General features: G+C 38.7%; 1 long non-coding RNA gene across 1 annotated transcript in view; it reads right to left on the reverse strand.

The window, feature by feature from the left end:
* The window catches only part of LOC105376387 (uncharacterized), a 294200-nt gene that overhangs the window by 180482 nt on the left and 88225 nt on the right, over window positions 1-25493 (reverse strand). Inside the window, exon 2 of the long non-coding RNA NR_188183.1 lies at window positions 7824-7905. This is a non-coding gene — a long non-coding RNA (uncharacterized LOC105376387). The remainder of the gene's footprint in view (window positions 1-7823; window positions 7906-25493) is intronic.

Raw genomic sequence — 25493 nt, forward strand, 5'->3', positions numbered from 1 at the left:
ACCATAAAAACCCTAAAAGAAAACTTAGGCAATACCATTCAGGATATAGGCATGGGCAAAGACTTCATGACGACAACACCAAAAGCAATCACAGCAAAAGCTAAAATTGACAAATGGGATCTAATTAAACTAAAGAGCTTCTGCACAGCAAAAGAAACTAGCATCAGAGTGAACAGGCAACCTACGGAATGGGAGAAAATTTTTGCAATCTACCCATCTGACAGAGGTTTAAAATCCAGAATCTACAAGGAACTTAAACAAATTTACAAGAAAAAAAGACAGTCAAAAAGTGGGCAAAGGATATGAACAGACACCTCTCAAAAGAAGACATTTATGTGGTCAACAAACATATGAAAAAAAAGCTCAGCATCACTGATCATTAGAGAAATGCAAACAAAACCACAATGAGATACCATCCCACGTCAGTCAGAATGGTGATTATTAAAAAATCAGGAAACAACAGATGCTAGTGAGGCTGTGGAGAAATAGGAACTCTCTTACACTGTTGGTGAGAGTGTAAATTAGTTCAACCACTGTGGAAGACAGTATGGCGATTCCTCAAGGATCTAGAACCAGACATACAAACACAGGAACAGAAAACCAAACACCACATGTTTTGAACAATGAGAACACATGGACACAGGGAGGAGAACAACACTCACCTTGGTGGGTGGGCGTGAAGGGAGAGCATTAGGACAAACACCTAATGTATGTGAGGCTTAAAGCCTAGATGACAGGTTGATAGGTGCAGTAAACCACCATGGCACATGTATATCTATGTAACAAACCTGCATGTTCTGCACATGTATCCCAGAAATTGAAGTAAAATGAAAAAAAAAAAAAATGTAATGTTTTGCCTCTGTTTTCTCATTGCAAGAAACTTTGATACTCTATGTTTCCATGGCTGATTTTCTCAAAAACGTATGGTTTTCATCGAAACCCAATGGCCATATTTCTCTAACTTCCTTATTGCTCCCCTGTGTGTGAACGGTGGAGCAGGACTCTGATATAACTTCAATGATAAAGGCTTATCACTAAATAAGAGACTTCCAAAATGATCTTGTGTGTCAATATCCTATGCACAAATACAAACTGATCATTTTCAGACCCTTTGCTGTCTAGGGTGGATTCAGCCCAAGTAACGTTCATTGTTGACTAAGAGAGGCGGAAAGCATGAGGTTGCAAATGGAGAAGCAGAGAGCTAAATTATTCTACTAAGAAGAGGACCATGGGAGAGGGCTAGAGTATGAGCTGGAAGGGAGGGAAAGCTAAAGCCGCCACTGAAAAGGTTGCTCAGAACAGGAGTCATGGGAGAAAATAATCCAAAAGAAGAAAAAGCAGAGAAGTATTCAGATGATTTTTATGAGTTTTTTTTTTCCTGTGGAATGCAAATATATAGTTTTACTCTAATTTCTCTTGAAAGCATCAGTAACACCAACATTGCTTGCCAGAGCTTGGGTGGTGCCTGGGTAAGAACCGAGTCTGGTCTCAAGATAGCGTAGCGCGAAGGAAGCCCCCCTGACCACATTTGAGTCTCCAAGACAATAGTTTCTCTTCTCGTCTTCAGGGGTTAATGGCAAACAGTCAAAAGAATGAAATAAGACAGACTCCAGCCCATCCAGAACACAGAAAGAGGAAATTGGAGCCACACAGTGGGTCTATAGATATGTTCTATCTCTTTTTTTCTCCCAAGAGATCACCTTTGAGATAGTTTTGAACACATGCTCAGCTAGCAGCACCCCTGTCTGGTAGAGACTCTTTCAGAAGCCCGTTGATCCGCAGTCCAGCAAGCAAATGACTTTAGAAGAAGGAAAAAAATAAAGTAACAGGAAAGGAGGGAGAAAAAACACATTGGAGGGAGAAAGGGGAAGAAGAGATAGAAAATCTGTCCACTAAATTTATTATCTTAGCTTGCATTTTGGTGAGAATATGTACATTAATGGACCATCTGCTGAGAAAATCCGCCAGAGATTTTCAGTGATTCAAAGTGATGATAGGACTCACATTTCTACTTCCTTCCAGCTGCAAAGAAGGAGCCCACTTCTAAGAGAAAAATCAATGACCTCCCTTGGTTGCCTGGTGAACCAGCTTTCATTTTCTAAGAGCTGAGGATAAAAATTGCACCTCCAGGCATTAAGCCTTGGAGCACACACCTGTGCACGAAACTCCTTCTGGACAAGGCCTTAGAGAACTCAGATCAGCTCCCACAGCTACCCCTCAGTGACAAAAAGGCCCCGACAAAATCACTTCCTTTCCTCCTGCCACGCTTTCCCCACCTTTAACACCAAGATCATCTTTTACCCTCCTATCTCAGAGGGAAACCATTCAGTCCTCTGCTTTAAAGTTAACCCTTTCTTATCTTCACTTTAACCAAATACCTTCACTTTATCTTGACAAAACTCATGGCCCATATAGTTTCTCGGTTCTTGTTCTCCCTAAAGGCTCATCATTGCTTAACGCGCGTAGACACTCGTGCTGGCTTGACTTCCATCAATTAAACTACTCAGCCCTGACTTTTCTCCTGCTTGTTTCACTGCTCAGTTCCATTTTCCATGCTGGTTCCTTTTCTTCATCTGGACCCCAAACCCTGGGGATCCCCAAAAGCTTTGTCTTTGACTTCTCATTCCCTTTATTTAAACTCTTGCCCTGTATCTTACCATTGCTGTAACTGTCACCTGTGACTAGAAAGCCATCAAATGCTTAACTCCAGGCCTAGGATGTCATCACCAGACACACAACTCACTGTAAAGGCATTTATTTCTGTTTGCCTGTTCCATGGTTACCCTGCATGTAACATGTCTTATAGACAACTTGTGAACACCTCCAAATGCAAATAAATCATTCCTTCCTCCTTCTTTATCCCTACTAATGACATCACCTGTCCTCTTCGAATCACAAGTAGCCAGACGAATCACCAAACCCTGCACATTTTTAGTTTATCCTGCCTCCCCCACCACCCACGAGAATCCATCCTCTTCCTTCCCATGCTATCTCCTTAGGCCACACCATTATCATCTCACATCCCTCCGTGCTATTGCAACTGCCATTTGAAATCATTCCCAGCCTCCAACCATCTTTCTATCAGATAAATCTTAAAACCCTCTTCTTTTACACAGAAGGCCTAATGAAGAAAGAACCTCTGGATTAAACAGATATGCTGGTGCTGCTGGTGGTAGTGGTGAACAGCATCTTCAAGGAAGAGAAGGATGTGGTCTGAGTCCTAAGGCCTACAGCTTGGAAGATAAAAAGCACAAGACAATCACTGGGACCACGAACCAGCCCGCGTAGAGCAGATCTCACCTCCCTGTCCCACAATAGCCCTTTCCTATTTCAACTCTCCCGTACTTCAGAACCCTCCTCCTTTGTCCTTCTCCCTCATGGAGTCTTTCTCCAACACTTTAGTGCTTTCTCTGAAATCCTTCAGCATTTATTTCCTTCAGATAATCAAATATTGCTCCACATACCTGGACATTTAATTCTTTCTGTTGAGTATGTTTTTGAGCACTTTCCCTCCAGTCATAGAGGAATAATTTTCTCTGTATTCTTCTAGAAAAAATGTTAGTTGGGACAGCCAAATAATAAATAATTGAAGGGTAAGAATCATGTCTCACAATGCTCTTGTAGTCCCAACATCCCAGTAAAGAACCATGCATACAGAAGGCGATTGGAGACATTTATTTGATTTATTGAACAACTACTTTGTTCTAGGCTCTATTCTAGGTAATAGAATACAATGAACAAATTAAACTAAATTCCTGCCTCCATAGGCTTGATTTTCCAGTGGGGCAGGAGAAATGGAATGAAAGAGAAATAGCTGAAATAGATAATAATATGTTGCAAAATAACACATTATTTTGTATGTTTTAATGCATATTTGTAATTATTACAAGTTATTGTAAAGTAACACCAAATAAGAAAAGAATGAACACAAAAGTAGTTAATTCTATGATATATTAGAAATTGATAAAGCAGTAGAGAAACATGAAGCATGGCAGGGAGACAGAGAATACAAGTTGCAGAGTGAGGAGCAATTATAAATTAGGTAGTTAGGGAAGGTCTCTGCAAAAGTATTAGTTTGGTGCAAAAGTCATTGCGGTTTTTGCTTTGTTGGAATTTGCTGTTTGATATTGGACTATATTCTTAAATGTGGTTATGTTATACATAACTTTAGTGGGCATTTCTTGCTTTATGTTTTTTTTTTTGCTAATGACTTATTACTTGCTGTTTATTTTATGTTTATTTTAGACTATGGAAATGATGGTAGCAAAAATCAAATTCGACCAATTTTCTTGAGTTCAAAATGTGTTGTAAAGCAGTGGAGACAACTCCCAACATCAACAACACATTTGGCCTGGCCCAGGAACTGCTAACAAATGTACAGTGCAGTGATGGTTCAAGAAGTCTTGCAAAGGAGATGAGAGCCTTGAAGATGAGGAGCAGAGTGCCAGGCCATCGGAAGTTGACAAAGACCAGTTGAGAGCAACCATCGCAGCTGATGCTCTTACAACTACACAACAAGTTCCCAAAGAACTCAACATCAATTATTCTATGGTTATTCAGCATTTAAAGCAAACTGGAAAGGTGAAAAAGCTCAATAAGTGGATGCCTCATGAGCTGACTGAAAATAAAAAAAGAAAAATCTTTGTTTTGAAGTGTTGTCTTCTCTTATTCTATGCAACAACAGTGAACCATGTCTTGATTGGATTGTGGCATGCAACGAAAAGTGGATTTCATACGACTACCAGTGACAACCAGCTCAGTGGTTGGACCAAGAAGAAGCTCCAAAGCACTTCCCAAATACAAACTTGCATTAAAAAAAGGTCACGGTCACTGTTTGGTGGTCTGCTGCTGGTCTAATTCACTACAGCTTTCTGAATCCTGGAGGAACTATTACATCTGAGAAGTATGCTCAGCAAACCTATGAGATGCACCGAAAACTGCAACACCTATAGCTGGCATTGTTGAGCTGGCATTGGTCAACAGAAAGGGCCCAATTCTCAACAATGACGCCCAATCGCACGTCGCGCAACCAACGCTTCAAATGTTGAATGAATTGGGCTACAAAGTTTTGCCTCATCTGTCATACCCTCCTGACCTCTCGCCAACTGACTACCACTTCCTCAAGCATCTCAACAACTTTTTGCAGGGAAAACGCTTCTACAGCCAGCAGGATGCAGAAAAGTATTTCCAAGAGTTCATTGAATCCCAAAGCAGATTTTTATGCTACAGTGATAAACAAACTTATATCTCATTGGCAAAAATGTGTTGATTAAAATGGTTCCTATTTTGATTAATAAAGATGTGTTTGAACCTAGTTATAATGATTTAAAATTCATGGTCTGAAACCACAGTTTCATTTGCACCAATAGCATCTGAGCCATTTCTGGAAGGAGGTGAGGGAATGAGGCATGTGGCTCTTTGGGTAAGGAACATGCTGTATAGTGGGAACAACATGTGCAAAGACCCTGAGACAGGACCAAGTCTAGAATATTCTAGAAAGTGCAAAGAAGCTACTTTAGGAACATTGGCTTTTATTCCAAATGAGATTATGAATTACTGGAGTTTTCACTGGATTAGTAAATAATTTTGATCACCCCAGCTGCTGTGAGATGAGACAATGTGGAGACAAGTGCAGAGGCAGGGGGACTAGTTAGAAGAACTAGTAATCCAATGGAAAGGTGACCACAGCTCAGACCAAGGAGGAGGTAGTAGAGAGGAGAAGGGGTCAGACTCTGGTTACATTCTGAAGGCAAAGCCAGTGGGATTTGTTGGTGGATTGATTGTGGAGTGGGAGGAAAGGGACAGAGTCAAGGATAACTCCAAGATTTCTGACCTGGGCAAGTGAAAGAACAGAATTAAGAATTGTTCTTAACTGGGTCAAAGAAGAGTGGAGCATGCACAAATTTAAGATAGAAGATTGACATATTATTTAAGGTTCTCCAGAGAGACAGAAACAATTGTGTGTGTGTGTGTGTGTGTGTGTGTGTGTGTGTGTGTGTGTGTCTACAGAGAAAGCTCTTTATTTTGAAGGAAGTGGCTTGATTATGGAGACTGGCAAGTCCAAAATCTGCAGGGTGAGCCTGCAGGCAGAGACCCTGCAAGAGGCATGCTGCAGGTCAAGTCTGAAGGCCATCTGCTGCAGAATTCCTTCTTGCTCAGGGAAGGTCGGGTTTTGTTCTCGTCAGGCCTTCAACTGATTGGATGAGGCTCTCCCACAGTAGGGGAGGGTAATCCACTTTTCTCAGTCTGCCTATTTACATGTTAATCACATTCAAAAACATTTGCAGAAATATCCAGAAAATGTTTGACCACGTATCTGGGCACTGGCCAGCCAAGTTGACACAAAATAAACCATTGCAATTGGGGATTCAGTTTTGGAAATGTTAAGTGTGAGATGAATATTGACTATAAGTGGAGACGTTAGATAGAAAGTTGGATATAAGAGTGTAGAAGGCAACAGAGTGAATCAGGCTACAGATATAAATTTGTAAATCATCAATAACTTTAAAGCCAGGCCTGGAACACACCATCAAAGGAGTGAGTGATAGAGGAGCACTCCGAGGATTGAGTGGGGCCTTTCACCACTGAGACGACTGAGAGAAGAGCAGCAGCCATCAAAGACGATGAAGAAAAAGCAACCCGTGAGATAAACAGAAGAAACACATATGATAATTACTACACTGTATAATATTGAGTGAATATACACAAATCAAATACATAATGAGTGAGTAAATAAGCAAACAGCAATAAATTAGAATTCACTCATATATTTAATAGAGAGCATCACATTTAATCATGAAAAAGAGAAGTTCATTGCAAAAAAGAAACAGTAATGGTTTTATCTGAAACACAGTGACCTAAAGGGAATTGTACACATTTAATAACTCATAAAGAGAAATATCACCTGTCCTCTAAAAAAGAAAGAAAATAAAATCAAAAAAGCTCCAGCTACTTGCCTGGAGAAGCAAGTAAAAGTAACTCATTTGAATAAACTTTATTTTCTTACTGGAATCTACTTGTTTCTTAAAGGACCTAAATGTCATTTTTCTTTCTCAGACAAATGTGTCTTTAAATCCCCATTTTCACTGCTGCCTGAGTCTTTTTGGTGATAAAGTAACTACAGTGAAACACTCTGTTCTAAATGTAACACCACCTTGCAAACTTCTCTCCTTTCTTTGGCACCAATAAAGGGTAACACAACTCTGGAAATAGGCTGTTAAGAGCAAGCTGCTGTTTTGCTCCTTCCTTTATGGGTGATAAGGAAATACCTTCTTACGTCAGTAATTTTGATAGCATAGACCAGATCTCAGCCAACATTTTCTGTAAAGGTAAATATTTTAAGTTTTATAGGCCATACAGCCTCTGCTTCAACTGCCCAACTCTGCTCTTAAAGTGTAAAAACAGCATACACAAACAAGTGAGCATGGCAGTGTTCCAATAAAACTTTATTTACAAAAGCAAGCCACAGACAAGAGTTGGGTCTGGTCCTATAGTTTGCTGACCCCTTGCATAGACCATAGACCAGTCTTTCTAATCATTAGTCACCTATTTGCCCTGGAGGAACAATTCCAACACCATAAAAACCCTTTGATATAATAAGCATCGCACAATGGAGGAGAAGCACAATAAATATTCTGTTGCTGTCATGGCTATTGTGGTTGTTTGATTTTTCTTAATGAAGAATAGCCATATTTAAATGTGATACATAAGGTAGCAGCATTGAGAAAGATTTGTGGAACTCATAAATCCCTCAACTCCCCAAGGGTTCCTCTGAGTATGCTATAGACAGGACTATCAAATAGTAAAATGGGAAATTACATTACCTGTTATGTAATATTAGAACCTCTTGTTCAATGACATGGGTGTCTCTTCTGCATATATTTTCTTGGCATTAATCTGAAAAGGCTGGGAGGAAAAAGAAATTGGATTTGAATTTGATATCCTCTTGCATTTGTCATTAAGTTTCTAGGTAAAGTCTGACTCCTCAAAAGTTTAACTCCGTTTAACTTAGTCACAGTTTAATATAACCTTCTCTTTAATAGTAGCTATAGAGGATTTCACAGGTTTCTATGTCTCTTTCAAGATGAAGATTCAAAGAAAGATTTTCTGTGTATGGTAGTTTTGATATAAAGAACCCATTAGCAAACTTGAAATGTGTAAATTACATGGAAGGCTCTAAGATGTGCCTTAAGTTGTAAGGGCAGACCACCTTCTCTCAGGAGGTTAATGGAGAGAGGAGGTGCTTGTTTCAACAAAGAGCTGAAAATAATACCCTGAAATTCACCTTTATAATCAAAAGATGGACTGCTTTTAATTGCAGATGAGTGGCTAGAAAACACTTTTATTCTTCCTTTACGGCATTTTCCTTGGCAAACAGAATTAAAAGGCAGCCCCGAATATATCCGGCATAATATTCCTCAGTGCTCACTAACTCATCTGCTTCAATTCAGGATGGATATGGTAACAATCATTTTCATAATGCCTGTGGGTGCTTTATTAATATTTTATAATAAAATTATATCATCTTATACAAACTTCACTCTATAATACGTTAAAAATGGGATCAGAGACTTGCAAATGAAATGAAAGCAATGGTAAAATTTAAAACATTTTGGACTGCAGTTTTTCTGTTTCTTTTCTCCATTAAACAATTTTTGAGTCCCACCTTTACCAATGCTGTAGACATGATTATCTTGAAATCTCCACTATCTAGTTTATTAATACTCATCAGTGCTCTATATTCATCTCAGCTAAACATTTTTTTCCTAGGGAGCACAATGTACAGCTATTTTTATTTTGTCAGAGCCGTTCCACTAAATTATAAAATATAATGTATGTAATAAATTTTGTTTGTTGTTACAAAATCAACACATGAAATTTACAAGGTTATTTCTCATTTTAAGGTAAAAAGGAAAGACAAAAGAGGTGCTCTTATTGGTTAAAGCACCCAGGGCTTTCATATGTGCATCTCATTTAATCCTCAACCAGTTGAGGTAGATGCTATTATCCCGTTTTACAGAAGGGAACAGCTGGGTTTCAGAAAGACTAACTCGCCCACAGTTACACCTTTTGTAAGTGGAGGACTGAGCCCACATTTCTTTGATTTCAAATGATGTGGGATAAGTTAGGTAAATAAGGTAAATTTTTTTTAACAAATTAAGTTTGATACCATTAAACTATAAGGAACAAGTCTTTGAGATTTTAAAAGGAAAGTACATACACACAAGGAATCTTTACATAGACATAACCATTTGACCAAAACATAGAATCCTCCCTAAGCGTCTTCCTGTATGTCTCAAGGTCAATCAGGTAGAAAGGTACATTTCTCTCTTTTCTTGAGGAGGTTGAAGTGTTGATTACCTACTGCCCCATGGCTGAATTAGGAGGAAAGTTGAAAGATGCACTTTTTAGCAAGGGCCTGAGACTCTAGAACTGTCCAACTTACCTCCTAATTTCCCACTGAAATTTGGCATTAAGGAGATGTTGACCTTGGCAATAATGTCATATTCTCCAACTCAATAGCTGTAGCCCCACAGAAAAAGACAGTGGTTGTTACTGTTCTAATCAGCATGGAATTTATTAACCTTAATTAAGACTTCAAGTGTAGTTTGCAACCTTTAGAAATGATTAGGCCTTCATTGAGCAAGCAGCCATAGTGATGAGTTGTGCTACCGTTTGTCTTCTCCAAAGCTACACGCAACGTACAATACACAATAATTTTCCCACTAGCTGACTTGTATTGGGAACTCGCCATAAACTAGGTGCTGGGCTAAGGTTTTCCATGCAGCACCCCATGAAATCTCACCACAGCCTATTACCATCCCAGTTTACAGATGGGGAACCTGAGGCCAAGAGAGTCTGTAAAACCCTATCTAGACCACCTAACCAGGAAGTCATTGATCAGGATTTGAACTTGGGTCTCTCTGTCTCCTGCTCTCATAACACTCATATTTTCCTTTGGGTGATAATGAGGTTGAGGGGACACTTACTCCCCACACCTCATGTTTTATTTTATAGAAAGGGACCGTCTGCTAAAGTAACCCTCTCCCTGTCCTTTATTTCTGAGAAAAGATTAATGGTGCATCTAATTCGAGTTAAGGAGAAGGCTCTGGGCCTGCTGGCTCAGTTCATTCCACTTGGGGACCCAGTGATCTGCAGAAACAACTCTTTTCTGCTTCCATGCTTGGCAGGAGGCGCAAGTTATTTCAGCACTGCAGGTACCTGAGCAGGTGAGCTCAAATCAGTTAGCAGAATTGGCCAATGTTCTCCCACCTCCCTTTCTATCAATCATGAAAGAGACATTTGAACCTCCATCTGCACTGGGACCTTGTCTAGTACCTTCCACGTGAGACTGAAGCACAATGGCTTATTGATCAAGCCTCTTTTAAATTGAAACCGCTGGGAGTTTGTAATTTACACAATGAAGCTGTAGGTCTCCTCCATTTCTGTGACTCTCACCGGATTTCAGTGCCCACAAAGGGCAAAAATCCAAAAACCTTCCCAGATACACTTTTTCTAAGTTTCTAACTTTCATATCTGCATCTTTTATATTTTAATGGCTAGCATTATTTTTTCCCAAATAAGATTTGCCCTTGTGGTTTTGTTGTTTTGTTTTAGATTAGATTAATAAACCATGAAGAATTCAACTGAAAATAAGATTTTTTTCAGAATTCATTTCAGGGAGTATATGCCTTTTAAAAAGTCATTTCTAAATCATAACACATGAAAAGTGCCAGGCTACTTATAAAAAGAAAGTAGTTCTCTCATGTGCTCTCTCTCTCTCTGTCACACACACACACACACACACACACACACACTCATACTCACTCATTCCTACCTGCCTAAGATGATTTATGTAGGGAGTATCCCTAGTGGCACGAGGGAGAAAAGCCCCACTCTGTAGCATTTGTCAGTTTCTGTGGTGTAAGTTCTCCCATCACGGCTGATTTTGAGTTAACATGATGTCACTGAACACCAGTTGGAGAAGAGACAGGCGCAGTCACCTCTCACAAGCCAGTGTAAGCTGGCTGTATCACGCCATTGGGCCAGACCCTGTCCTATGACGATAGGTAGCCAAATGGTATCTTAGTATCCCTAGTTCCATTAACAAGGCAAACACTATTCTTTTTATAAAGCTCAACTGATTGCAGCTGTCCCCAAAACTATAGTTCCCCAGAAACTGTAGTTTCGGGGACAACCCACTACTTTGATATAAAATAAATTGAAATATGTTTTTTTCCTCCTGCATCCTTCAGAGACTTTGCAACAATGAAGTCATAAGCCTTGGCTTTATGGAATTCAACTTAAACTTCTCCCTTGAGGCTGTCTCTTTTTATCAGCAAGAGATGCCTTTATCTCTTTCTATATCCAAGATTCCCCTGAGGAAACCACTAAACTGTGTTATTTAATATCTTTGGGACTTTTCTGCATAGTTCTCTAACTCATGAGGTAAAAGCCTTTAAGAAAAGTTATCTAGGCATGATACAAGTTTGAGAAAAAACATTTCCCATTCATGGCTCCCCCTATAGTTTGCAGTACTCATTGGAATCAAGAGAGATTACTGCTCTTTGAGATTAGTTGATTACATTATACCCTTAGGCTGAATTTTTTTTCCTGACTAGAGGCAATAATCAATCTTCTATTGATATTTAGGAAATCTGGGTAATGTTTCTGATTTTACCACTAACTGACTGTGTGGTCTTGGGCAAGTTGCTGAACTGCTCTAGGTTTCAATTATACTAAAGAGTAAAGAGTGAGGATAGACAGTAATACTGATGGTTATTATTTTTGAGTCCTTAATATGTGCCAAGTAATGGGTGATATACTTTATTCCACTAACTCAGGTAATTATCACCATAACCCAAAAATGTAGATACTATTTATTAGTCTCATTTTTTACACAGGAAAACTGAGGCTTAGAGTATAAGTAACATTCTTTAGGCCACATAGTAGTATTCAACAGAGACGGGACTTGAAACCAGACCGTCTTGACTCAAAGCACATTTCTTCAATCATTGTTCTCTCCTGCCTTCCCATATAGTTACCCAAAGAAGTCCCATCTGTGTCTCAAATTCCATTGCAATGGAGTGTTTCTAGAAATTGATAGGATGTAAGAACATTGGTACTTGTATACACAAAGAGCTAGAATTGACACATCTGATTTTGAAAATGAATAGTGTGAACATTTGAAGTCAGGGAACTTTACTTAGTGTCTCTCTGCATTTAAGCTTTCCTACTTAGGAAATAAAAACATCACCAGATGCTGGGTCTATGCAGGGCAGATATTTTGGAAAGATATTTTCTTAGTTATGCGATACCGTCTACAAATTCCAGCTTAAAAAAAATAGCTCTTCCATTCGCCATGTTAGGTATGTATAAAACCATTGAAAACTCACAACACTCATTTTATAGACAAATGAAGGAAGGGTAAAGATTTTAAGTTGCTCTAAGCCACAGAACCCCATTTTTAGCCATGGTACACTGTACCACATCATCCAACAGAGTTACTTACATGTATAAAAGTTTGGGCATTCTTTTACAATTTTGTAAAAACAAATAAATATGCTGTAGAAAGAGGCAACCTCGCAGAATGGACTGCAAGTCAGAAATTTCAATTCTGTCTCTTGGTTTTCTCACCGATTTACTGTATGATCTGGGAAAGGTCATCTACTTCACAGGTCTCAGCCTCATATCCACAAAGTAACTGGCCTCTGAAATATATTCTGACTTTAAATTTGTCTCTACTCTGGGATTTAGTTTCTCACTGGGACAGCCCAATCCCCTTAAAAGACAGATTATCAAAGCATAAAAATTACATGACCTATGATATTTATTTTGCTAAGATTTTTCACAAAACCCCATCATCATCAGAGATAAGGTAACTCCTGGAGAGACATCACACTCTTTGCAGGTTTGGAATGCCCAGTTCCCATCCTTGCTCCATCCCAAACTGCAGGAGACACAAAGGGAGGAGGCAGGAAATTTCTGCAAAAACCCCATGAAGGGATAATAGACCACTTGTACTTCTGCTTAATGTTCTCCACAGGACACAGTCAAACAACGGGAATCAGTCACAGAAGTCATCACTTTGATTTGTTTCCTAAACTAATGTATTCTGCAAACCATAATTTCTCTTTTTAATTCCACAGAGCATACTATTTAATGTACATAAACAGTATACATTCAAAGACCCTAATGCACACATCACATTGTTGTGTTTCTACATCAGCATCTTCACGTGACCCTCCAGAAGTGTTGTTCAACTGCTTGTGGCAGACATAAGTTATATGGATGACAAATAGGAACAAGAAATTTTGGATGAATGAACAAATTAAGAAAGAAACAGATTAAGGGAAATAGAGCTGCAAATCAAAATGCTGAACACTCAAATAATATCTCTATCTTTTAAATGACAGTATTAGTATCATCGTTATTTTAGAACTAGGAGCGATCACACATCATGGGAGTTAATGGCTTGTGACAAGAAGGGAATTGCTCAGAAGTTATGTGAACTGACCCCAAACACAGGTTAGCTAGATATGACACTTAGAATGTACAATATGAATGGTGGTCTATCAGGTTCTGTGTAATACACACTCTTTATTCTTGGTATTTGCATTCTTCTGAGAACATTTTTTGGGAAATGTCCCTAGGGACGAGAGTACCCATGACCCTATACATTAGGGGGAAATCTGCAGGTGACGATGCAGAGTGACGTTGCTAATAAAGGTATGTAAATGTAGGAAATATCAACATATCCCTGTTATCATTGATTTCTGTAATATGGCTTTTTACACAAAATCACATTACAGTCTTTTTCACAATAATCAAAGCTGAGAACTCAAAACCAAATGTGTGAGGTTTTCTGTTGAAGAGGTCACTATGAGTATCAATTTTCTTACTTGCTTGGGATATTTACCCGATTTTAAATATATAAGAAAAAAATGGAAATTGATGATGTCAGCCATCCCTTATAGACACATCAACATGAACGAGCATCCACACGTGAAAATACTTTCACAAGGGCTTAATAATTCAGAAGAGAAATTACGGCACTTGAGTGTAAAACAGAAATAAGAAAAAGTAGATTGAACATGGTAGGAGGGACAGTTTCACATTACCCATGTCATCTTTTTCCCAAACTAAAATGCAGAGAGAGGTACCATTCACATGGAAGGACGAGGATCAACTGAGTACCCAAATTCACCATGCACCAAAGTATCAGGCCTTCTCCATTGAATCCTGGCACCAGGCTAGGCCCCATGGCCCTAGGCTCCAGGCTTGGCCTCATGGCCTCGGGCACCAAGCCAGCACCTGCAGATTCAGGCTCCAGACTCTTTCACCCACTGACCCAGATACCAGATCAGCCCATGTGAGGACTCCAATGGCAAGTCTACCTGCAGACACTGGCAGCCAGCCTGTCCAAAATCCCTGGACAGGCTAGCTGGTATAAGGCTTTCTCTGCTGAAGCTGGGCTCTAACAACTGGAAGAGGTACCTACTTTTTCAAAAGTTCAGATACTTCTTCAAAATTACAAGGATCATGAATAATCAGGGATCCATGGTACCAGCAAAAAAAACAAAAACAAAAACAAAATAAAGCATCAGTAGCTGATCCTAAATAAATTAAGATCTATTAATGGTCTGACAAAGAATTCAAAATAACCAACTTAAAGAAACTCAGTGAGCTATAAGAAAACAACTAAGCAAAATCAGGAAAACAATACATGAACAAAATTAGTACGTTAACAAGCAGATACCATAAAAAAGAACCAAAAAGAAATTCTGGAAACAGAGAATACAAAGACTGAGCTGAAAAATTCCATACAGAATTTCAACAGCAGACTCAATCAAGCAGAAAAAACAATTGGTGAGTTCAAAGACAATTCATTTGCAGTTGCCTGGTCAGGGAAACAAAAAGTAAAAAAGATGAAAAAAACAAAGCCTATAAGTCTTGTGGAACATCATCAAGTGAGCCAGTATATACATAATGGGAATCCTACAAGGAGCAGAGGAAGAGAAAGGGAAATAAAGCTTATAGAAATAATGACAGAAAACTACTCAAACGTGGAGACGGAAACAAAAATCAGATCGATGAAACACAAAGAAAACCTTTTTACATTGCATTAGTCCATTTTCATACTGCTATGAAGAAATATCTAAGACTAGGTAATTTATAAGGAAAAAGGGTTTAAGGGACTCACAGTTCCATATGGCGGGGAAGGCCTCACAATCATGACAGAAGGCAAAGGAAAAGCAAAGTCACATCTTACATGGTGGCAGGCAAGAGAGCACGTGCAGGGGAACTGCCATTTATAAAACCAGCAGAACTTGTGAGACTTATACACTATTGTTAGAACAGCATGGGAAAAACCAGTCCCCATGATTCAATTACCTCCCACCAGGTCCCTCCCACAATACACGAGGTTTATGGAAGCTACAATTGAAGATGAGATTTGGGTGGGGATACAACCAAACCGTACCAAACATCAAATGTGAAAAGATCTTCACCAAGATGAATTATAATCAAGATCTCAAAAGTAAAAGACAAATAATTTTTAAAACAGCAAGAGAAAAGTGGCTTTTCATATACAAGTGAACCATTATAAGACTATCAGCATATTTCTTAGCACAAATCTTGCAGGCCAGGAAAAAGTGGCATGATAAAGTGCTGAAAGATAAAACTGCCAGCCAAAGACACTATATCAAGAAATGCTGCCCTTCGGAAATAAAAAAGATAAAGACTATCCCAGAAAAACAAAAGCTAAGAGAGTTTATTACCACTACACCTGCCTTATGAAAATGCTAAAGGGAATTCTTCAAGTTGAAACAACAGGACACTAACAAACAATGTGAAAATAAAACCCACTGTAAAAATAAGAATATAGTCAAATTCAGAATATTCTAATACTATAATTGTGGTGCACAAATCACTTTTAACTCTAGCAAAAAAAAGTCTGAAAAATAACTAGAGCTGCAGTAATTTGTTAATAAATACAAATTACAAAAAGATGTAAATTGAGACATTAATAATATAAAATGTGGAGGAAGAAGAAATTAAAGGTAGAATTTTTATGTAAATTTATCCTCTTAAAGTAGTATATATATATATATATATGCATATATATAGTTGTTGTTGTTGTTGTTTTTGAGACAGAGTCTCACTCTGTCACCCAGGCTGGAGCGCAATGGCGTGATCTCGGTTCACTGCAGCCTCCACCTCCCAGGTTCAAGCAATTCTCCTGTCTCAGCCTCCTGAGTAGCTGGGACTACAGGCGCATGCCACCATGCCCAGCTAATTTTTGTGTTTTTAGTAGAGACGGGGTTTCACCATGTTGGCCAGGGTGGTCTTGATCTCCTGACCTCGTGATCCACCTGCCTTGGCCTCCCAAACTGCTGGGACTACAGGCGTGAGCCACTGCAGTCAGCCAAAGTAGAATGTTATAACTATAGACTGTTTTCTGTTAAATAAGCCTCATTATAACCACTAAGAAAAAGTCTCTAGTAGATACTCAAAAGAGAGAGAGAAAGGAATCAAAACATATCACTACAAAAATAATCAAATCACAAAGGAAGCTGGCAAGAGAGAAAGAAAGAAACAAAGGAACTAAAAAATAGTCAGAAGAACAGTAAGTTCTAAGCTAGCAATAATTACTTTAAACATAAGTTAATTATTCAATCAAAAGACATAAAATGGCTAAATGAATTTAAAAAAAACATAATTCAACTACATGCTACCTACAAGAGACTCACTTTAGATTTAAAGGGCTACATAAGCTGAAAGATAAGGGACAAAAGAAAAGATACCCCATGCAAATGTTAACAAAAAGAAAGCAAAAGTAGCTGTATGTATATCAGACAAAATAAAACAAGATAAAAAAAAAACAAGAGACAAGGAAGATAATTATATAATGATAAAATGACAATCCATCAAGAGGATATAATAACTGTGAATACATATGCAGAGAGCACTGAAGCACCTAAATACATACATCAAATATTAACAGAACTGAAAGGACAAATAGACAACAATACAATAATAGTAGGGGACTTCAATACCCCACTTTCAACGATGTATGGATCATCCAGACAGAAAATGAATAAAGAAACAGCAGACTTGGCTGGGTGTAGTGGCTCATGCCTATAATCCCAGCACTTTAGGAGACTGAGGCAGGTGGATCACCTGAGGTCGGGAGTTCAAGACCAGTCTAACCAACATGGAGAAACCCCGTCTCTACTAAAAACACAAAAATTAGCCAGGCTTGGTTGTGCATGCCTGTAACCCTACATACTCGGGAGGCTGAGGCAGGAGAAGGGCTTGAACCCGGGAGGCGGAGGTTGTGGTGAGCTGAGATCGTGCCATTGCACTCCAGCCTAGGCAACAAGAGTGAAACTCCAAAAAAAAAAAAAAGAAAAAGAAAAAGAAAGAAAAAGAAACAGCAGACTTGAACAACAATATAGACCAAATGGACCTAACAGACATACGGACCATTCCAACCAGCAGCAGCAGACTACACGTTCTTTTCAAGTACCCAGGGAACATACTCTAGGATAGATCATGTAGATCATATGTTAAGCCACAAAACTAGTCCTAACAAATTTAAAAAGAATGAAATTACAATAAGTATCCTTTTTCCAACCACAGGTATATGAAACCAGAAATCAATAACAGAGGAAAATTGGAAAATTCAAAAACATGTATAAATTAAAAAACACACTTCTGAACAATCAGTAGGCCAAAGAATAAATCAAAAAATAAATTTCAGAAGTCTTGAGACAAATAAAAATGGAAACACAACATTCCAAAACTTACGAGATACAGCAAAAAAAAATTCTAAGTAGAAAATTTATAGTGAGAAAGCCTGTATTAAGAAAAAAGAGACAACATAGAACACACAAAGGTATAAAACTTATAAGTCTTGTAAACAATTACACAAAAGGGGAAGAAAAAGAACTCAAATGTCAATACAACATAACTCCAAGAAGCCACAAAGAGAAAAAAGAAAAAAAGAATCCACAAAACAACTAGAAAACAACTGACATTATGACAGGAATAAAACATCACGTATCAATATTTACCTTAAATGTAAATGAATTAAATGCTCTACTTGAAAGATATAAATGCTGGATGGGTTTTTTAAAACATGAACTAACTATATGTGCTCACAAGAAACTCACCCTACTGGTAAAGACACACAGACTGAAGGTAAAGGGTTAAATTTCATGGAAACGGAAACCAAAAGTGAGCAGGAGTACCTATACCTATATGAGATAAAACAAATATTAAATCAAAAATGGTAAATCTTGCATTTCTAAGGAGCATGAACTCTGATTTTGCCCATCCCAAGCAGCAAATTCACCCAACGTCAGGCCCAGCGTAGCCCTGACCATCAATTGTGTTTCTATACATTGACAATAAACTATCTGAAAAAGAAATTAAGGATACAACTCTGTGTAAAAGAATGCTAAAAACACGAATTTAACAAAGAGGTGAAAAATCTATACACTGAAAACTATAAAACATTGATGAAAGAAATTGAAGAAGACAACAAATGAATGGAAAAATATCCCATGTTCATGGACTGGAAGAATTATCATTAAAATATCCATACTACCCAAAGCTATCTACAGATTTAATGCAATCCCTATCAAAATTCCAATGGCTTTTTCATATAAAAAGAAAAAAAACAATTCTAAAGTTTATATGGAACCATAAAAGACCCTGAATAGACAAAGCAATCTTGAGCAAGAAGAATAAAGCTGGAGGCATCACATAATCTGATTTCAAATTATATTACAAAGCTATAATAATAAAAAGGGTAGAGTACTTTTATAAAAACAGACATATAGACCAATGGAGATGAATAGAAAGCCTCCAAATGAATCCACACATTTATGGTTGACTGATCTTCTACAAAGTTGCCAAGAACACAAGAACACACAATAGGCAAAGAATAAATAGTGTTGATAAAACTGGATATCCACATGCAGAAGAATAAAACTTAATCTTTATCTCACTTTATATTCAAAATCCAACTCAATATGAATTAAAGACTTCACTGTAAGACCTGAAACTAAACAGATAGCAGAAAACATAGGGGAAAGACTTCTTGACATTGGTTTGTAAATAAGCTTTTGGCTATAACCTCAAAAACCAAACAGGCAAAAATTGGCAAATTGAATTTGATATGGTTCAGATATTTTTTCACTCCAAATTTCATGTTGACATATAATCCTCAATGTTGGAGGTGAGGCCTACTGAGAGGTGTTTGGGCCATGGAAGCCGATCCCTCATGAATAGCTTGGTGCTGTACTCATGATAACAAGTGAGTTCAGGCTCTGAGTTCACACAAGTTCTGGTGTTTTAAAGTGTGTGGCACCCCTCCCTTGTTACCACCCTCACCATGTGACATACCTGTTCCCCCTTGCTCTCTGCCATGATTGGAAGCTTTTTGAGGTCTCCCTAGAAACCGAGCAGATGTTAATGCCATGCTTGTACAGCCTACACAACCATGGGCCAATTAAACCACTTTTCCTTATAAATTATGGAGCCTCAGGTATTTCTTTATAGCAAGGCAAAAACCACCTAATACAGATTTGTATCAAACTAAAATCTTTCTGCACAGCCAAGGAAACAATCAATAGAATGAAAAGTCAAACTATGGTATGGGAGAAGATATTTGTATACCATTTATCTAATAAGGGTTAATATTCAAATATATAAAATACTCAAACAACTCAATAGTGAAAAAACAAATAACGCAACCTAAAAATAGACAAAAGACCTGGGCCAGGCATGGTGGCTCACACCTGTAATCCCAGCACTTTGGGAGGCTGAGGTGGGCAGATCATGAGGTCAGGGGTTCGAGACCAGCCTGACCAACATGGTGAAACCCCGTCTCTACTAAAAAAATAATAAAAAATAAAAAATAAAAAAATTAGCCAGACATCGTGGCATGTGCCTGTAATCCCAGCTACTCAGGAGGCTAAGGCAGGAGAATTGCATGAACCCATGAGGTGGAGGGTGCAGTGAGCCAAGATTGCGGAGCGAGACTTCATCTCAAAATAATAATAATAATAATAATAATAATAATAATACCTAATAGACATTTCTCCAAGGAAGACATACAAATGCATGTAAAGGAAAAGATGTTCAACATCACTAATCACTAGAGAAATACAAATCAAAACCATAAGATATTACCTCACGTGTTAGAACGGCTATTATCAACAGGACAAAAAATTACAAGTATTAGTAAAGATATAGAGTATCTTTGTACACTGTTATTTGGAATGTAAATTTGTACAGTAAGTATGGAAAACAGTGTAAAGTTCTGTCAAAAAAAAAAAGATAAATAGAACTATCTATGATCCAGCAATCCCACTTTGAGGTATATATCCAAAGAAAATAAGTATGTCAAAGAAATATCTGCACTCCCATATTTACTACAGCATTACTCACAATAGCCAAGACATGGCATATATCTGAGTGTCCTGTGATTTTCCTTTGGCCTAAAACAAAGTTCTTTCTATTGCAATGGGTGAATGGAAAAAAAAATATGGTATATATACAATGCAATATTATTCTACCTTTAGAAAGAAGGAAATCCTGTCATTTGCTACAACATAGATTAAACAAAGTGGACATTAAGTTAAATGAAAGACAAATACTGCATGATCTCACTTAGATGTGGACTCTAAAATAGTGAAACTCATAGAAGCAGAGTGTAGAATGGGGATTTCCAGGAATGGGGATGGGGAAGTAGGGAAATGCTGGTCAAAGGGTACAGTGTTTCAGGGTACAGGGTACAAAGTTATGCAGGATAAATAGGTTTTGTAGATCTAATGTACAGCATGGCGACCATAGTTAATAATTCTGTGCCGCAATTCACAATTGCAAAGATGTGAAACCAACCTAAGTCCCCAACAACCAGTGAGTGAATAAACAAAATGTAATACATATATATCATGGAATAGTAGCCACAAAAAAGAACTAAATAACGTCTTTTGCGGCAACTTGGATGGAGCTGGAGGACATTATTCTAAGTGAAGTAACACAGGAGTGGAAAACCAAAAACTCTATGTTCTCACTTATAAGTGAGAGCTAAGCTGTGGGTATGCAAAGGCATACAGAGTGATATCACGGACTCTAGAGACTCAAAATGGGGAGAATGGGTGGGGAGCTATGAATAAAAAACTATACTTGGCCGGACACAGTGGCTCATGCCCGTAATCTCAGCACTTTGGGAGGCCGAGGTGGTCAGATCACCTGAGGTCAGGAGTTCAAACTAGCCTGGCCAACAGTGAAACCCCGTCTCTACTAAAAATACAAAAATTAGCGGGATATGGTGGGGGGGCGCCTGTTGTCCCAGCTACTCAGGAGGCTGAGGCAGGAGAATAGCTTGAACCCAGGAGGTGGAGGTTGCAGTGAGCTGATATCGCGCCATTGTACTCTAGCCTGGGTGACAGAGGAAGACTCCAGTTCAAAAAAAAAAAAAAAGAAAAGAAAAAAGAAAAACACTAAACTTCAGGTACAATGTACACTACTCCAGTGATGGGTGCCCTAAAATCCCAGAATTCACCACTATATAATTCATCCATGTAACAAAAAAAACACTTGTACCCCAAAAGCTACTGAAACAAAAATTTTAAAAAATACAAAAACATACTGTGCTGTATCCCTGAAATTTGCTAAGAAAGCAGATCCCAAATGTTCTCACCAGAAAAAAATACAGTAACTATGTGAGGTAATAGATACGTTAATTAGCTTTATTAGGATAATCATTTTATAATGTATATGTATATTAAAATGTCATGTTGTACACCTTACATATATACAATTTTACTTGTCAATTACGCCTTTTAAAAAGCTGGGAGAAGAAGACTAATTCACCTTAGGAATAAAAATCAAAAGAGAAACACATATTGTGAATGTTGTCATTGTTCTTCCTCACCATGAACATGTATTGGACCTTAGAATCCTCCCTGAATTCACATGCTTTAATGATCATTACTTTGTAGGTAATGGGTAGAAGGAAAGAATACATTTCATTGTCACAACCAGGTATGGGTATGGCAAATTCTTTCCCTGCCTTCCTATGGAACACAGTCATTTTCAACTCTGTTCAATAGCTAATGATCGTAACAGGATAGAATATTTATGTCAGGGAATGAGCTAAGCATTTGGCATATATTTACTAATTGACTCTTTAAAACACCTCCACAGAGTAGGTAATTTTTGTTTCCACTTTACAGATGAAGAAACTGAGGCACAGAGGAGTTTTGGGTCTTCTTTGGGACCACAAGACTAGCAAGTGGCAGAGCTGGAGTCTGAACCCAGGCAGCCGGGCTACTGCCTCTGCACTTGGGTGCAGCACCCGATAGTGTTAACGTGCATGATGCTGGTGTTTTTCTTTTTAGCTTTCCCAGTGACTTACTGTTGTGTATCTTGGGCCTTTTTTATCCTTTCTAGTTTTTAAAGCAACCTTAGCTTGAAAGAATTCTCTTGGGGGGAAAAAACATGTTCTGAGTGAGAAAAGTATAGAGAAGGCTGTCGGAAATCTTAAGTCCACACACAAATCCCTTTGGACTATCAAAGTGGGTTTTTTCCTCAATCAACAGGCCTTTGATCACTCACCACCAGGCAAAATTAAAACGCCAGAAAACCATGTGATATACAAACCATGTGACCAGGATTACATAACACAAGACTCTAGTATGTGGCCAAATTCATGTTAAGTTTTCCATAAGTATTTTGCAGTTTTGAGTTTGGAAAATCACACAAAATTGCTCTATGTCCTGAGTGCATTACTGACAATTCATTACTTAAATAACCAACTTCATTCCAGAGATTGAACTCCATCTAGGCTCTGCACTCTATATAATAACTTATCTTGATTTCATCTAACATACACGTCAGCATCACAGCTCAAAGAAACAGAGCTACAGGCAGAAAGGAAGAGGAATCTGAGAATCTGGAATTGACGCTTGGTAGCTAAAAATGGACAGACTAGTCATGGCAAAGGAAAGTCAGTCTTTCTGACTGTACCAATGGGAGATTTATAATTTGTGTTACTTATGGCTCTCTGAGGGTCCTTGGAGAATGGGAATATTTATTTGCCAAATGCCTGTCACTGTCACAAATAGCTAGGTTCTTTGAAAAGTGTACTCTTTCTTGTTAGGCACATTAGAACAAGCATCCAACTCCCTAAGGACATTAGATCCAAGAATTGCAGCAATGCTAAATGCCCTTGTGAATGCTTAAGATGGAAACGAGAGAAAATAATGGAATGGAGATTTGGTGCTAGAATTATGTTTGAGCTAAAGCTTAACCCCAAATCTAACTCAGTATCCCTCACTGGGCCTAGCAACATAGTTGACATGAAATAGAGAATGATAGCTTCACCCAGAGGAAAGCTATTTCCTCAGATATACTAGTAACTAATGGAATTGACTACAAAACTCATCCATTTATTTGTGAATCAGCATGCACCCCCACACACCCATTACACACACTTACGGACACTGAAACACGTTTTGTACTTTTACTGTGAAGGGGGCTTTTTGATAATTTTTTATTTCATTGCTTAAAGTTCTGGGTGGGACCTGCTAAACTGATGCAATGACTCACTAATGAGTCATAACCCATAATTTAGAAACCACTGGGAGCAAGAGAGAGAGTGGGAGAGGTGGGAGAGACAGCAGTTTATGCTGTGCAAAGTCAGATAAAGGATCATTGAGGACATGAGCTGTGTTTTGCAAAGTGGGGGATGTTCACAAGAAAGTCAAGAAGGGAAGTGTATTAGTCCATTCTCACATTGCTATAAAGAACTGCCTGAGACTAAGTAGATTATATATTAAAAAAAAGAGGTTTAATTGACTCGAAGTTCCACAGGTTGTACCAGAGGCATGGCTAGGGAGGGCTCGTGAAAGTTACAATCATGGTGGAAGGGCAAAGGGGAAGCAAGCACATATCCACATGGCGGTGAGAGAGAGAGAGTGAAAGGAAAAGTGCTACACACTTCTAAACAACCAGATCTCATGAGAACTCGCTATCACAGGGACAGCAAGGTGGAAATCTGCCTCCACAATCCAATCACCTCTCACCAGGTCCCTCCCTCCAACATTGGGAATTACAGTTCAACATGAGATTTGGGTGGAGACACAGAACCAAACCATATCAGAAGGAACTTTTCAGACCAGGGGAGTAGCATGAGGAAAGGATGGAGACACTCTGGTGTCCCCAGAGCATGTGGAGTGTGAACAAAAAGGGAGTTGAGAGCAACAGAGATGAAGCTAGGGAGAGAGAACGGGACCAGTTGTGGAAAGTCTCTGTTCCATCAGTAATGAGTTTAAAAGGATCCTCTAAGGGTATGAGTCACAAAGTGATACTTTTTGTGCTTTAGAAAATCACTCAATTGGTTCATTTCTTGTATTCGTTAATTCACCGAGGATTTGTGAACACATACAATGAGCTTTGCCCAGCACAGCAGTGTGTGGAATGGACAAGAGAGGGACACACTTCGCGTTTATGGCAGTTACTTAATCCCAAGTCCTTAGGAGCCAAGCTAGAGAGCAGCAGGAGGAATGCATCCCAGTAATGCATTGGAGCTTGAATCAAGAACACTCTTTGTGATGGGGAAATGGGAGGAGAGGCCTGAATGAGTCTGAAAGGAAGGACAGAGAGGAAGTTAACCATTGGGGGAGAAAAGGAGATGATATTGCAAAGGTGTGAAAGTGTGAAGGAGTCCGGCAGGTTAGGGAACAAAAGAAAAGTTTGGAGTGGCAGCACATGAAAGGAGGTTCAGAGTTGTGCTTGGAGAAGTGGGTTGACTTGGGGAGATTTGCTCAGGCCTCTGGACTCTGTTCTGGAGAACATGGAGGATATTGAAGCTGCAGGAGGGTGGGACAGTGATATGGTTTGGCTGTGTCCCCACCCAAATCTCATCTTAAATTGTAACTCCCACAATTCCCATGTGTTGTGGGAGGGACCTGGTAAGAGGTAACTGAATCATGGTGGCAGGTCTTTCCCTATGTTGTTCTTGTGATAGTGAATAAGTCTCACAAGATCCGGTGGTTTTAATAAAATGGGAGGTTCCCTGCACAGGCTCTCTCTCTTTGTCTGCCACTATCCATATAAGACATGCCTTACTCCTCCTTGCCTTCTGCTGTGATTGTGAGGCCTCCCCAGACATGTAGAACTGTAAGTCCATTAAACCTCTTTTTCTTCCCAGCCTCAGGCATGTCTCTTTCAGCAGTATGACAAAAGACTAATACAGAGGCACAGGGACAGCATCATTGGGTTCCTATTTCCAAATATAGAAAAATCAAAATAACTAAGAGTAGTGGATAGGAAATGGAAGAAAATTACTAAGAAATTGACATATAGAAAACCAATATTTTAGATCTAAGAGGGTTTTTACTTACTGCATTGTTGTTGCTTAAGTTATTACAGTGAGTGGCTTCATTGTGCCCCTCTTCCGGGCCCTGTGTTCC

The sequence above is a fragment of the Homo sapiens genome, chromosome 10 (genome assembly GCF_000001405.40).
Source record: "Homo sapiens chromosome 10, GRCh38.p14 Primary Assembly".
Taxonomy (NCBI): Eukaryota; Metazoa; Chordata; class Mammalia; order Primates; family Hominidae; genus Homo; species Homo sapiens.